At 44.3% G+C, this 15,424-nt stretch overlaps 1 protein-coding gene across 5 annotated transcripts in view; it reads left to right on the top strand.

The window, feature by feature from the left end:
• GALNT12 (polypeptide N-acetylgalactosaminyltransferase 12) overlaps positions 1-15,424 on the top strand; it is a 42,412-nt gene that overhangs the window by 1,021 nt on the left and 25,967 nt on the right. For 2 of the 5 annotated variants that reach the window (NM_024642.5, XM_006717287.1), the window contains exon 2: positions 14,566-14,735. In NM_024642.5, the coding sequence (NP_078918.3) occupies positions 14,566-14,735 (170 nt within the window). Of the gene's footprint in view, positions 1-374; positions 1,336-2,135; positions 2,184-3,423; positions 3,507-14,565; positions 14,736-15,424 lie in introns of those variants that run through there. The other 3 variants (XM_011519018.3, XM_017015133.1, XM_047423871.1) reach the window with 3 other exon arrangements.

Consider the following 15,424-nt stretch of genomic DNA (forward strand, 5'->3'; position numbering starts at 1 on the left):
GGGTGGTGCTGGACTGGAGCCAGCGTGGTCAGAGGCCTAGTTCCTGTTGGAGCTACTGGCTGGGCAGGTTGCGCCCCTGCCTAGGTGGGGATCCAGGGCACACGCTGGCAGCAGGAGGAAGGACAGGTGGCTGCTGCCACCTTTGCCGCTGGGCCTCCCGGGCTCTCACTTTTTCTTCGAAGTGTCAGGGATCTTCCAAGTCCTTTTTTGAGCCCCTTCCTTACAGACTTTGAGGAAAAGAGGACTCAGAGAGGGGGTTCCCATTGGAGCTGGTGGTGGCAGCCTGCCGTGTGCACCAGGCACCTGCCACTCCTCTCCCCTTCAAGCCATTCCTGCTTTACAGGTGTGGAAATAGGTTCGGAAAGGATAGGTGACCCACCCAAGGCCCCTCAGCTGGAATGTGGTAGGACTGGTCTGGAGGGACTATGGCCCTTCTGGCCCACTTGGCACCATGCTGATCTCAGGATTTTAGGGGCCTGCTCCATGGTACCTTGGCCAGAGAGACCATGAATGATGGAATGAGGATGCCCCACCTCTGCCCCACTGTTTCCACTGTCTTCCCTGTTTTGGGGATCTCCTCATGCCTAGCCTCATGCTTCTGCCTGAGGCATTTTTCACTGTTAGTCTTTTTGAATAAAACTTTGTTGGGATTGATAGTAGTTCCTCCACTCACCAGCCTAACGCATGTTTAGCTCCTCGAAACCCCGAGGGTGCCCGCTGAGGCAAGGTGGAGGGGAAGCTTTCAGGTTATACCCAGCTTCAGATTAAATCCAGCCCAGGGGAGATAAAATCCTGGTTCTTTTGCTCGTCACTTCTGTGATCTCTGGCAAGCTGCTTAGCCTCTCAGAGCCTTGGTTTCCCTTCGTTTGCGAAATAGGAAACTCATAAAAGTGAGTCTCCATGCATTCTACATAAAAGTGAGTGGAAAGAACACAACTTAGGAATTAATAAAGCATCAATACCTGGGAGCACACTGTGTGCTTAAATCTTAGTTTTTTCACCTTTCCCTGTTGCCAAGAATGTACTCAAGAGGTTGCTTTTGAGAGTCATCCAGGGATTGGTTGTAGTTTTTCTTTCCTGGATCCAACTTCCTTTATTGTCGCAGGTTGTGAATATCTCTTTGAAACACTGTGGACAATCTGTGGGGCTTATGGTAACCTGTCTCCATGGTGACGCAGCTGCCCTGTGTCCTCTCAGGATTTGCTTGTAGATCCTGCTGTTGCATTGACCCTGGAAGTTAAGCCAAACCCAGCATGATAAGGAGTGTGAATGCCTCCTGCTTCTAATTCCTGCAGCAAGGCCTGTTGGGTTATTCTTACCCAGCCAGAGAGAAAGGTGAGCCTGAGCTGTGTGGGTCTCTGTTGGGCCAGGCTTTGAGATGTAACTTCAGAGTGGTCAGTAGGGTCAGGGTATTTTGTGGCATCTCACTTTTATTACAGTTCATCCAGGAGCTAATCAGGGTCTTGAGATTTTGCCTGAGAAACCTGAATGGCAGATCATAAGTTCACAGTGTGGGTATGGGGTTCTCTGCGAGTCTAATAAACAGAGGGATAATGAGGGTCCTTGAATGTTGCAGGAGGGAGGGCCCTGAGGGAGGAGCATCTAGTCTAACCAGAGAGGAAAAGCCACACCCCCAGGTCACATAGCACATCTCAGGCAGAGCCACAGTCCATATCTGTTACTCGTTCCTCCCTTTTTGGGTGGGGATGATTATTTCTATGTTTATTTTAATTATGAAAGCAATGCATATTCACTCTAGAAATGTTGGCATGCACAGAGAAACAGAAAAGGAAAAAAATGAAAATCCCCAATAAACCTACCACTCAGGGAGAACCATTGTTAACATTTTGCTGTGCCTCCTAGACTTTTAATGAAAGTCTTTACTCTGCAGTGCCTTTTATCAGAGGAAAGGAGTTGGGAATGACTAAGGGACCACTTGGTTTGACTCTTCCTGGTGTCAGCAGGGTGTGGCACTGTGTCTGCCTTCTTGAAGAAGGCCAGACCACTAAAAAGACATTTTAGAGTACTGGTCCTAATTCTGTGAGAGCCAGTATAGACCTGGGCCCCTCTATGAATCTAATAATTTACATGCCAGTGGATTCGAGTATAGTTTTGTTAGTTACAGCACTGAATTGAAGAGGAGGCTAATGATGACTAGGAATCCTTCCTTGCATGGTAACATAGTAAGTATTAATATATATTAATATAAATAAGTATAGTAAGTAAGTCAGTAAGCATAGTAGTATAGTATGACTAGCATCTCAGCAAAGAAGGTGAATTTTTACTCTGAGATGATAGCGGGTCAAAGTGGGGAGACAGATAGTTGGGTGTGTGGCCCTGGGGAACTTTAAAAAATATATTGATGCCAGGAATCTTCCCCAAAACAATGAAATCAGAATATCTGTGGCTAGGACCTAGGCTGAATCTGATATGCAACCACGGGTGAAAGCTACTGGCCTAGAGCCTGTGGATTTCTGAGTCAGAAGATTTAGGGTGAGTGTTTTGGAGGGTGTGGAGAATACCAGAACTAGAGAAAGTAAGGATTAATAACAGGTCAAATGTAGTTCAAGCCAGTGATGACATCATAGTCAACTGAGTGGTGTGTCACAAGGAAATGGTTATTAGTAATGTTGTACCAAAATTTGCAAAAAGTTTTAGTTTCCATAGAATACGGGGAACTTGAGATGATCACTGTAACATCATTCTCATTTGCATTCTGATATTTAGTAGAAGAGAGAGTGGAGTAACAGACAGTGCCCTCAGGGCTGGACATTTCTTCAGGTCTATCTATGACAGGAATCCCATATGTGTGAACACCAGCCATTCTCTACCAGGGCAGAAGAACTGTGAACCATTGGTCAAGGAAAGCATGGTGTTTTTATTTCTTGACTTGCTCTGGTTTTAGGCTTGTTAATACTATAATTGCAGATGTGTGTCTGAGTTCAGGGGTCAGGATTTGGGTGCTGGGATGGCAAAGAGTCTCGAAGTCGTTCTTTTTTTTTTTTTTTTTGAGATGGAGTCTTGCTATGTTGCCCAGGCTGGAGTACAATGGTGCGATCTTGGCTCACTGCAACCTCCACCTCCTGGGTTCAAGCCATTCTCCTGCCTCAGCCTCCCGAGTAGCTGGGATTATAGGCAAGCGCCACCACACCCAGCTAATTTTTGTATTTTTAGTAGACACGGGGTTTCACTATGTTGGCCAGGCTGGTCTCAGACTCCTGACCTCAGGAGATCTGCCCGTGTTGGCCTCCCAAAGTGCTGGGATTATAGGCGTGAGCCACCATGCCCAGCCTCAAAGTGGTTCTAAACAGGTAATTAAGCAAAAGTATGTCTTGCTAGGGTTGCAGAAGGGAGTAGGACATTAGACTGATGTTTATTTTGTTTCCCCAACAAAGTTGTGGATATTTTATGAATTCTTATTAGATCCATCTTGAGAACATCAGAGTGGCATTCTTTCTTGAGTCAGTACTCCAGTACTTCAAATCCACAGAACATGTTCAATTTCGGTTAGTATTTTCCTGATACCTTTTTCTTTCACTCATTCTGTGTCCATATGTTTTTGGTGTGTCTTTGAATAGTATGTTGCTCGATTTTGTGTTGTCATTAAAAAAAAATCCAGGCCAGGAGTGGTGGCTCACGCCTATAATCTCAACACTTTGGAAGGCCGAGGTGGGTGGATCACTTGAGGTCAGGAGTTCGAGATTAGCCTGGCCAACATGGTGAAAACCTGTCTGTACTAAAAATAGAAAAATTAGCTGGGCGTGGTGGTGGGTGTCTGTAGTCCCAGCTACTTGGGAGGCTGAGGCAGGAGAATTACTTGAACCCAGGAGGCTGGAGGTTGCAGTGAGCCAAGATTGCACCACTGTACTCCAGCCTGGGCGACAGAACAAGACTCCATTTAAAAAGAAAAATCCAAACTGACAATCATTAACTTTTAACAAGATAGTTATATCCACTTACATTTATTGTGCTTACTGATGCTTTTGGATTTGATAGTGCTGTCTTATTTTATGTTTTCATTTGTTATGCTTTTTTGGTGTTTTCCCCCTCTTTTTTCCTACTGCTTTTTGAGTCGATAGAGGCTTTTCCCCTCATTCCATTTTTTTCCTCTCTACTAATTTAGTAGTTATATTATCTATTTCTAACCTTAGTGGTAAATTTTAAAGTACATATTTAACTCAACAAAGTCTAAAATTAAATATTAACTATGGACCATAGAATGCTTTAGTATTGATCATCTTCTCTCCTAATTTGTATGCCATTTTGCTCCAATATTTTAATTCTGTCTTGCTTTTAAACCAACAAATTAGAATAGCTAAAAATGCAGTATTTATTTGTTCAGATTTATCCACAAGTTTACCATTTTCTCTGCTCACTATTCTTTCCTGAGTCAGAGACCTTTCTGGGATTCTTCTCCTTCTTCCTGAAATACATCATGTATTAATTGCTGTAGAGAGGTCTATTGTTAGTCCTCAGTTTTCTTTATCTGAAAATGTTTTTATTTTGCTCTTGTTCATGAAAGTTTTGCTGGGTATATAATTCTACATTGGTAGTTTGACATTTGAAGGTATTATTCCCTTGTCATCTGGTTTGCACCATTGCTATGAGATGCCTACAGTGACCCAGATCTCTCTGTCATTCTTGTTTCTTTGTCATTCATTTGAGGTCTTCTTTTATTTAAGCATATTAAGCATACTTATTTTATACTCTATGTCTGGTAATTATGTTATCTAGATTAGTGTTTTCTTGTTGTTCCTTCATGAAGAAGACTTCTTTTACTTTCCTGTCGGCTAAGCCATCCATTTAAAAAATTTTTTTTTTTTTGAGATGGAGTTTTGCTCTTGTTGCCCAGGCTGGAGTGCAATGGTGCGATCTCAGCTCACTGCAACCTCCACCTCCTGGGTTCAAGTGATTCTTCTGCCTCAGCTTCTCCCTAGTAGCTGGGATTATAGGCGCCTGCCACCATGCCCTGCTAATTTTTGTATTTTTAGTAGAAACGGGGTTTCACCATGTTGGTCAGGCTGGTCTTGAACTCCTGACCTTAGGTGATCCACCTACCTTGGCCTCTCAAAGTGCTGGGATTACGGGTGTGAGCCACAGCGCCCAGCCAAGAGATTTAAAAAAAAAAAACTTTTTATCAAGATTTTTTGGGTGTATATACCAGGAGTGTTTCCCTAGACATCTTAGTCTTCCATGTTGCCAGAAGTAGAAGTCCTATATTCACTTTTTAAAAATAATTATTTTCTACACTAGACAGGATTCTTTTGGTTAAAAGTAACTGAAAGCCCAATGCAAACTGCCTTAAATATAAAAGAAAATATATTGGGTTCTATTATAGAAAAGTCTGGGATGAGAACTGAGTTCAGGTTATTCTGGGCCCTGGATTCAGGGACTCAATTGATGTCATCACGAAATTATTGATTGGTCAGGCCTGAGGCATGTAACCTTCCCAGGGGTAGGGGTGTGTGTCTGTGTGTCTCTGTGTGTATATGCATGTGCTTGTGTATGTTCAGCCCTCCACAAACCACATAGACTGAGAATTGGAAAAGGTTGGCTCTTGAAAGGGAAATCAAGATGCAGTGTACAGTGAAGAAAGGAGAAAGGATTCTAGGCAGGTAAGACACAAAAATGTACATCACGATCTCCTTGGCCTTTTCTACAGAGGATATGATTTGATTTTTTTTAAAAGACATTTATGTGATAACCTTAATATAAAGATAAAAGAAGATCAGGAGGGGCTGGGTGCAGTGGGTCATGCCTGTAATCCCAGAACTTTAGGAGGCCAAGGAGGGCGGATCACTTGAGGTCAGGAGTTCGAGACCAGCCCTGTCCAAAATGGCGAAACCACGTCTTTACTAAAAATACAAAAATTAGCCAGGCATGGTGGCGGACACCTGTAATCCCAGCTACTTGGGAGGCTGAGGCAGGAGAATTGCCTGAACCTGGGAGGCAGAGGTGGCAGTGAGCCAAGATCCCACCACTGCACTCCAGCCTGGGTGAAAAAAAAAAAAAGGAAGATCAAGAGGCATTTACTGTATCCATTAATTCATTCATATCCATATAATAAGTAAATATTCTACCAGCAGAGATTATTGTAGTCCCTACCCAGTAGGGTTGTTAGGAAGGCTACATGAAGTAATGTGTATAAAATGCTTATATGGTGCCTCTCCTGTATTAAGCACTCAACAAATGGTACTGTTACTACCAGGTAAAGTACAAGGCGTGCTGAAAATACAGAGACAAACACAGCTCAGTCTCTGCCCTTACAAAGCACATGCAATATACCAGAAACTTAGGGAAATGATTGTGTGCTGTGATGTAGCATTAAATCCAGTTCTGAGCTTCCTTTTGTCCTCAAGGCAAAAGTGGAACCTTAAAGTGATCCATAGCTGTCTTTGTATGATCAAAAGATGCACAGCTTTTTATTAGTCAGGAAAAGGAGAAAGTGTTTTTTTCTGGAAGCAAACTTAAAGACATTTCAAAAAGATATACAGACGATCTCCGATTTAAGATCGTTTGACTTAAGATTTTTCAACTCTATCATAGTACCCATTGCAACCAACCTGGTTTTCACTTTTGGTACATATTTGGTAAATTATATGAGGTATCCAATACTTTATTATACAGTAGATTTGTGTTAGATGATTTTGCCCAACTATAGACTAATGGAAGTGTTCTGAGCACATTTAAGATAGACTAGGCTAGGCTGTGGTGTTCAGTAGGTTAGGTGTATTAAATGCATTTTCTACTTAGAATGTTTTCAACTTACGATGAGTTTATTGGGATGTAACCCCACCGTAAGTCAAGGGGCATTGGTATTGAACCTCATAAAACAGAATGCCTTTAGGAGATGTTTTCAAAAAAGAAACAGAAACTATACCAGGACAAGAAAAAGAGAAAGGGCAGAGTATTAAATTATTGCTCAATGAAGGCATTTGCTGTGAGGAACTAAAGAAATATGATCTAATCTTTTAAAAATAATATTTCTTTGTGATTATAAAAATTATAGATGTTCATTTTAGGACAATTTTAGAATGCACAAAAATATAAAAAGTAAGAATCAGCAATAATCTCACTTCTTAGAGATCACCATTGATAACATTTTGGCATATTTCTTTCTATTGTTTATTGTTTATGCGTGAACGCGCTCACATACACGTTGTTGTTTCTAGAATTGGCTATCTGTAGATTTCTATCCTGCCTTTTTGATTTAACATTATAGTGTGACCATTCTCCTTTATCATTAAATATTCTCTAAAAAATGTTATTTTGTTGTTTTACGTGGTGCCTCTCATGTAGTAAACACTCAACAAAGGGTACTGTTATTACCAGGTAAAGTACAAGGCGTGCTGAAAATACATGGCCATGATTTCCTCATGCAGCCATACTATACTATATTTTCTTCTTGTTCGACATTGAAATTGTTTGCAGCTTTTTGCTATTATAAATAATGTTACAAAGAAAAATTTTTACAACAAGCCTCCTTCAGGGTATTCTGACTATTTACTTAGGCAAGAAATGTTTATGTATGTTGATATGAGATCAAAGAAAAGAGGAACATTTTAAAGCTCTGAATATTAATTGAAAAATTGGCACCCAGCCTTCTTGTGATTTAGATGGCACAAATGAAGAGCCCACCTAGACATTCTAGAATGGTGGCCCTAGGCTATTGGTTTTAGTGGAAACACATTAAAAAAAGAAAAAAAAAAAAAAAGCAGGGCTGACAAGAGAAGAAATAAATTTTCATCCAAAATACTAAGGATGTGATTTCAGACTAAAGGATTGTTCTCTACATTGAATGCACCTCACTTTGAAAACCTCACTTCACCGTCCTTATTGTCAATTATTTCTCTTGAACTTGTGCATGTTTGAAACAAAGTTTTAGCAGCATCTTAAGAAAAAATATTTATTTTAGGTTTCACAGAAACACTTTTGTTTTTCATGTAGTGTAAGCAATTAACTTTTTTTTTTTTTTTTTGAGTCAGGATCTGGCTCTGTCACCCAGGCTGGAGTGCAATGGCGCCATCTCAGCTCACTGCCACCCCCGCCTCCCTGACTCAAACCATCCTTCCACCTCAGCCTCCTGAGTAGCTGGGACTACAGGTGTGTGCCACCATGTCCAGCTAATTTTTTTTTTTTTTTTTTTTTTTGAGACACAGTCTTGCTCTGTTGCCCAGGCTGGAGTGCAGTGGCCCCTGATCTCGGCTCACTGCAAGCTCTGCCTTCCGGGTTCATGCCATTCTCCTGCCTCAGCCTCCCAAGTAGCTGGGACTACAGGCACCAGCCACCACGCCTGGCTAATTTTTTGTATTTTTTTAGTAGAGACGGGGTTTCACCTTGTTAGCCAGGATGGTCTTGATCTCCTGACCTCGTGATTCACCCGCCTCGGCCTCCCGAAGTGCTGGGATTACAGGCGTGGGCCACTGTGCCCAGCCCAGCTAATTTTTGTATTTTTGGTAGAGACAGGTTTTTGCCATGTTGCCCAGGCTGATCTCCAACTCCTGGGCTCAAGCGATCCTCCCACCTTGGCCTCTCAAAATGCTGGGATTACAGGTGTGAGCTACCGCGCCTAGCCTCGCGGTTAATTCTTTCTGAGGCTCCTGGTGAGCTACAACTCAACACAATCTAGCTTTTCTATGCATCTTGTCTAGTATTCAGGGGCTTAATAATGAAGACGCAGTTATTAATATTTTTATAATACACACACATATGTTTTCCATTTGCTATAACATGTATTTGTTGGAGGGGGGATGTTTCTTTTTGTTTTTTTGTTTTGTTTTGTTTGTTTTTGAGATGGAGTTTTGCTCTTGTTGCCCAGGCTGGAGTGCAATGGCGCGATCTTGGCTCACTGCAACCTCCGCCTCCCAGGTTCAAGTGATTCTCCTGCCTCAGCCTCCGGAGTAGCTGGGACTACAGGTGCCCACCACCACGTTCTGCTAATTTTTGTATTTTTAGTAGAGACGGGGTTTCACTATGTTGGTCAGGCTGGTCTAGAACTCCTGACCTTGTGATCCACCCGCCTCAGCCTCCCAAAGTGCTGAGATTACAGGCATGAGCCACTGCACCCGGCCCAGAGTGAGGATGTTTTGGTAGATATGAGAAATAATGAGATTGAGGAGGGCATTTGTAAGGGCCACTAAAATTGAGCTACATAGCTATAGATCAGAATAGACTTGGTGTTTGGATGTGTCCACAACATTGGACCTTTTTTTCCTCTTTTTATATTAAAGTTTTAATTTGGAAAAATTTAAACCTGGAGAAAATTTATGACACACCAGCATAACAAACTTCTATAAATCCTCCACCTAGATCCACCCATTATTGTTTTGGCCCATTTAATCACTTTTTCTCTTTCTGTATGTCTACTATAATATTATATACATTTGAGAGTAAGTTATAGAAATAACAGTTCTTTACCTGTCTCTACTTCAGCATGTATTTTCAAAGAACAAAGACATTCTCTCATGATACCATGATATAATATCAAGTCCAGAATATTTATCCAATATCGGATGTCTATAGCTGTCCCAACTTATTATTTTTTTTTTTTTAGACGAAGTCTCGCTCTGTTGCCCAGTCTGGAGTGCAATGGTGCTATCTTGGCTGACTGCAACCTCCGCCCCCCGGGTTCAAGCCATTCTCCTGCCTCAGCCTCCTGAGTAGCTGGGATTACAGGCAGGCGCCGCCATGCCCGGCTAATTTTTTTGTATTTTTAGTAGAGATGGGGTTTCGCCACGTTGGTCAGGCTTGTCTCGAACTCCTGACCTCAGGTCATCTGCCGGCCTCGGCCTTCCAAAGTGCTGGGATTACAGGTGTGAGCCACCACACCTGGCCAGCTGTCCCAACTTTTATAGCAAGATTTTTCCTTCCTAATCTAGTATCTAAGCAAGAATCAGGTGTGACACTTTAATCAGGCCATTGCTGTGCCTCTTTAGCCTCACTCAGTCGGGAACAGTTCCTCAGTCTCTCATGGTCTGTTATGACGTTGACATTTTTGAAGAGTAAAGACCCGTTGGTTTATAAAATGTCTCAGTTTGGGTCTGTCAGACACTTTCTTTGTGATTTATTTTATGGTATGTATTACTGCAAAATTTAGTGGCTTAAAATAGCAATAAACACTTGTTATTTCACATAGTTTCTATGGACTAGGAATTTAGGAGTAGCTTAACTGGGTGGTTCTGACTTGGAATCTCTCTTGAGATTATAGCCAAGATGTCACTTGGGACTTTGATCCCCTGAAGGCATAATTGGGTGGGGCTGGAGGTTCTGATTCCAAAATGGCTCATTCACGTGGCTGGAAAGATTGTACTGGCTGTTGGCAGGAAGTGTCAGTTGCTTGCCACATAGACTCCTCCATAGGGCTGCTTGAGTATCCTCACAACATGGCAGCCGGCTTTCTCCAGAATGGATGATACCTTCCATTGAGGAAACAAGAGGAATCCTCAATGTTTTATGATGTAGTCTTGGAAGTCACATACTGTTTCTCCTGCATTTCATGTGTGGTGGTTTTAAAATATATCCACAAATTCTTTGATAGCCTCTGTCTAAGAGATGGAGCCGCATTCTCCTCCCCTTGAATGTGGACCAGGCTCCCTTCTCTGGAGCACAAAGCCTTCCACGGGGTCAGTGCTAAGTTAACTACTTGCATGAGTTGAAAGCCTATGGTGTCTGGGGATTCGGCTCCTGGCTGGCTAGGTGCTGGTGGGGATGCCCAGTGGCTTCACAACACCAGAGCTTTCATGCTTCCAGCCTGGGCTGACCTTTTCTCAAGTGCCCAGAGCAGGGCCTCCTGATGCAGCCAGGATGAGTATATAAAGCTGACTGAGAACAGCCAGCCCCTATCAGAGATTCTCAGATAAGCCTGTTCACAGCTGAAGGGAAATCATCCCAGTGACAGCAGAGCAAGGCCACTGCCAGGGAGCCTTGGAACTTGCTGTAGAGGCTGTCCTGGCATTAGGAAGAGGGACCTAGAACTCATTCCAGGGAAGAGGACCCTGGACCCCGAGAAGGAGAAGAGTAATTGTCCTTGTCTTGGTAGGAGGGAAGGCCAGGTGGGGAGATGTGATACAGGGATCTTTAGATTCAGATGGCCCACCTGAGCCTCCTGTTGGGTAGAAGGAACAAGCCAGAACCTTGCAACAAGATCCCTGGACACAAAGATCTCAGCCCAGTACATACTAGCAGGTGCTCTGTGAACTGACCAAGTCACTCTACCTTTCTTAGCCTTTAACGTGGGAGCAATAAATGCTAACATAGGAAGTGGTTTTGAAGGTAAAATGAAGTACTACATGTCATCAATTCAGAGGCACATTTTTTTCCCACATTTCAACATTTCTAAAATTAGCATGTGTCTTAAAAATCAATGCATCTTACCATTATGCCAGGTAGCACTTGTCTTTTTTTCCCCCCAGGTTTTAAGTTTATAGGTACATGTGCAGGATATACAGGTTTGTTACATAGGTAAACGTGTGCCATGGTTGTTTGTTGTACAGATCATCTCATCACCTAGGTATTAAGCCCAGCATGCATTAGCTATTCTTCCTGATACTCTCCCTCCTCCCACCCCCGACGACAGGCCCCAGTGTGTGTTGTTCCACTCCATGTGTCCATGTGTTCTCATAATTCAGTTCTCACTTAAAAGTGAGAACATGTGGTATTTGGTTTTCTGTTCCTGCATTAGTTTGCTGAGGATGATGGCTTCTAGCTCCATCCATGTCCTTGCAAAGGACATAATCTCATTCCTTTTTATAGCTGCATAGCATTCCGTGGTCTACATATATACCACATTTTCTTTATCCAGTCTATCATTGATGGGCATTTAGGTTGAGTCCATGTCTTTGCTATTGTGAATAGTACAGCAATGAACATGCGCGTGCATGTATCTTTATAATAGAATGATTTTTATTCCATTGGGTGTGTACCCAGTAATGGGATTGCTGGGTCAAATGGCATTTCTGCCTCTAGGTCTTTGAGGAATCGCCACACTCTTTTCCACAATGATTGAACTAATTTACACTCCCAACAACAGTGTAAAAGCTTTCCTCTTTCTCCACAACCTTGCCAGCATCTGTTGTTTCTTGACTTTTTAATAATAGCCATTTTGACGGGTGTGGGATTGTATCTCTTCTTATTGGTTCATTAAAGAATGTCGTGTCTTCCAACCCAGGGCTGCTTAACTTTGTTGAAATACTGTAGACTGGAGCACAAAGGTAATTTTCTAAGGTATGACAAAAATACTATGCTTATTAAAAAAGAGTCCTTACCTGTTAGAGACACATATCGAACTATTTTTGGATGCTACAGTATGCTGGATTTTCTTTAGAAATAATCTGGGGCAGAGGGAGTGGTGTTGACACAGATGAATCAAGAGTACAGTGGCACGATCTAGGCTCACTACAACCTCCATCTCCTGGGGTTCAAGTGATGCTCATGCCTCAGCTCCCTGAGTAGCTGAGGTTATAGGCGTGTGCCATCATGCCCGGCTAATTTTTGTATTTTTAGTAGAGATGGAGTTTCACCATGTTGGTCAGGCTGGTCTCGAACTCCTGGCCTCAAGTGATCTGCCGGCCTCAGCCTCTGAAAGTGCTGGGATTACAGGCATGAGCCATCATGCCCGGCCCTGTTCTGCTTTTTTAATGTTGAAATTTCTGGCCAGGCGCGGTGGCTCACACCTGTAATCCCAGCACTTTGGGAGGCCGAGGTGGGCGGATCACAAGGTCAGGAGATTGAGACCATCCTGGCTAACATGGTGAAACACCGTCTCTACTAAAAATACAAAAACAAAATTAGCCGGGTGTGGTGGCAGGCACTTGTAGTCCCAGCTACTCAGGAGGCTGAGGTGGGAGAATGGCATGAACCCGGGAGGCAGAGCTTGCAGTGAGCCGAGATCGTGCCACCGCACTCCAGCCTGGGCAACAGAGCGAGACTCCATCTCAAAAAAAAAAAAAGAAAGAAATTTCTAATAGTAAAATAAAAGAGGAAAAAACAAATACTTTTGTATGCTAAGGGCTCTTCCCTGACTTTTCATGGGGTTCATCATTCAGGTCTCATCCTAAATGTCACTTCCTCTAAGTGCCCCTCCCAGATTACCTGTCCTATAGTTGCTCTCCTTCCCCCTCCCCACTCCTCTGCTTTTCATTTTCATAGTTTCAAAGTTGTTCTCTTTCATCACTCTCCTTTCCATTTTCCATAGCACAATCACTTTCTGTAATTCCTGATTTGTTTGTTTAGTTGATTACTGTCCCCCTGAATATGAGCTGCATGGGAGCAGGGGCCTGGCCTATCTGACATGCGGTAGGTGCTCGGGAAGTTTTTGGTGACTGACTGATAAAGGGCCCAGTAGCACATGCTGACATATGGTAGACAGCAGATGTCAGTTTCCCTCCTCCTCCTGCCTAGTTTGGCATCTTTTCTCCTGTCCTCTTTGATCTGTCACTTAACTAATCTGGGAAGGCCTTGCCTTAGCAACCCAGGGAGCCTAGCTGGTCTCCAGCATTTCACCCCCTTCTTGAGTATCTAGCTGATCTCTTGGCCTAGCCTTGGCCAGCCCCCAGCATTCAAACTTTGTCCCTTCTGGTATCCCTGTGGTTTCACTCTCCCACCTTCCCATCAGCTACTTCCCACTGATAGTCTCCAGGCACTGCCCCTTAGTCAGTCCCGTGACACTGGGAATTTGTCATGTCACTCAGGATAGAATTCTGTGTCAACCAGGGAACCTTCAGTTCAAAGTGACGGCAAATTGCTAAACAAAGAGGGAGCTTATTGGTTCTAATCACTGCCAGTCAGGCCCACTGCTGGAGTTGGGTGGGCTCAGCCCCACCCCACCACATGACTACCACATCTTGGGGGGCAGGTGGCAGCGGGGATTTGGGGGAGGTAACCAATGTCCTCTGTAGAGTCCTTCCTGGAGTGTCTGTAGGTCCTAGCCACAATTCTAGTTTATGCATTTGGGACACCACCTTTGCTAAGCCTAGACAGTATTGGATGCTGGGAGAGGGTAGGGAGTGGTACAGTGGTACATGAGGACTCAGAATACTGTCAGTGGTGCATGCTGAGATGGAGGTGGGCCGGGTGCTGGAGGAGCATTGAGGAGACAGCAACTGCCCAAGATACGTGGTCCCAGGCGTTTCACAAAGGAGAACAGGCCTGAGCTGGGAGCTTGCCAAGTACAGAAGGGAGGAAGGGGCATTCCAGGCAGAGGGAACAGTCTGAGCAAAGGCCTGGGAGTGAGACTGGGGCAGAGTAGACAGAAAGGAGGGCGATGGGGAAGGAAGACGTGCCAGTTCCCTTCCTTCTGATTCTGTCTCGTTTGTATGTTGCTCAAATCAAAAAGTTGCTTGACAGCTTAAAACAATATCCCACAGTAAAAGCTAGGTGGGTGCCATGGTTAGGACCTTTCTTGGAGTCTGCTGGGGCTCCTAGTGCCACAAGGGGAGCTCTGGAAGATCCTTCAGTGGATTATGTCCCCTTCCGCAGGGGACCATGACCTATGTCCCCTTTGTCACTCCATCCCCAGTGCCAGCCTGGGCTAGATCCTGAGTTCCTGAAGTTCCGCTGTATTTGCAGGTGCAAAGAGAAGAAATATGATTATGATAATTTGCCCAGGACATCTGTTATCATAGCATTTTATAATGAAGCCTGGTCAACTCTCCTTCGGACAGTTTACAGTGTCCTTGAGACATCCCCGGATATCCTGCTAGAAGAAGTGATCCTTGTAGATGACTACAGTGATAGAGGTGAGTCCCGGCCAGGGCTCTGGGAAGAGCCTGTCCTTCTGTAGCAGTGTCTGGGAGGTGAGAGTGGGATGCAGGAGGGCTAAAGTAGGCCCAGTAAGGATGGGCTTCCTGTATCCTCCTGTACCCAAGGAAGACCTCAGGGATAGTAGCCCAGAAACAGTAGGCGTGGGAAACTGGAAGGAGCAGGGCATTCTCTTGGCAGTTTCTGGGACTGTTCATTTCATTGGCCAGTGGAGGTGATGTAGGAGGTGAGGTTGCAGGATGGGCAGGGCCAGATCTGGAAGGGCCTTGGAGGCCACCATAAGGGGTTGAGGCTTAAGTGCAAGCTTGATGGGGAGCTTTGCAGACAGCAAGGTCCAGGTCCCTCTGAGGAGCTCACTGAGCCAGCTGTGCGGGGAATGGCCAATGGCAGGGGAGGGGCTGGGTGAGGATGGAGGCAAGGAGGGTGGAGGGGCCTCTGTGGTGCCCACATGCAGCAGAGCCTTGGCTTGGCTGGGACTGGCAGTGCCAACGGAGTAGCATCAGCCCGTGAATCCTTGGGGCCTAGCTGAAGTGAGAGCAGCTAAGCTTAACCAAGGACAAGTGTCAAGTCTGTAACAGCAGGTAGAGCTGTGGGCTTAGTCACTACAGCCTGTCTCAAAGGGAAGCAACCCCTGCTGATGGGGCATCTGCTGCCTCAGATGCTGCAC

Source organism: Homo sapiens, chromosome 9, assembly GCF_000001405.40.
Source record: "Homo sapiens chromosome 9, GRCh38.p14 Primary Assembly".
NCBI classification, from domain to species: Eukaryota; Metazoa; Chordata; class Mammalia; order Primates; family Hominidae; genus Homo; species Homo sapiens.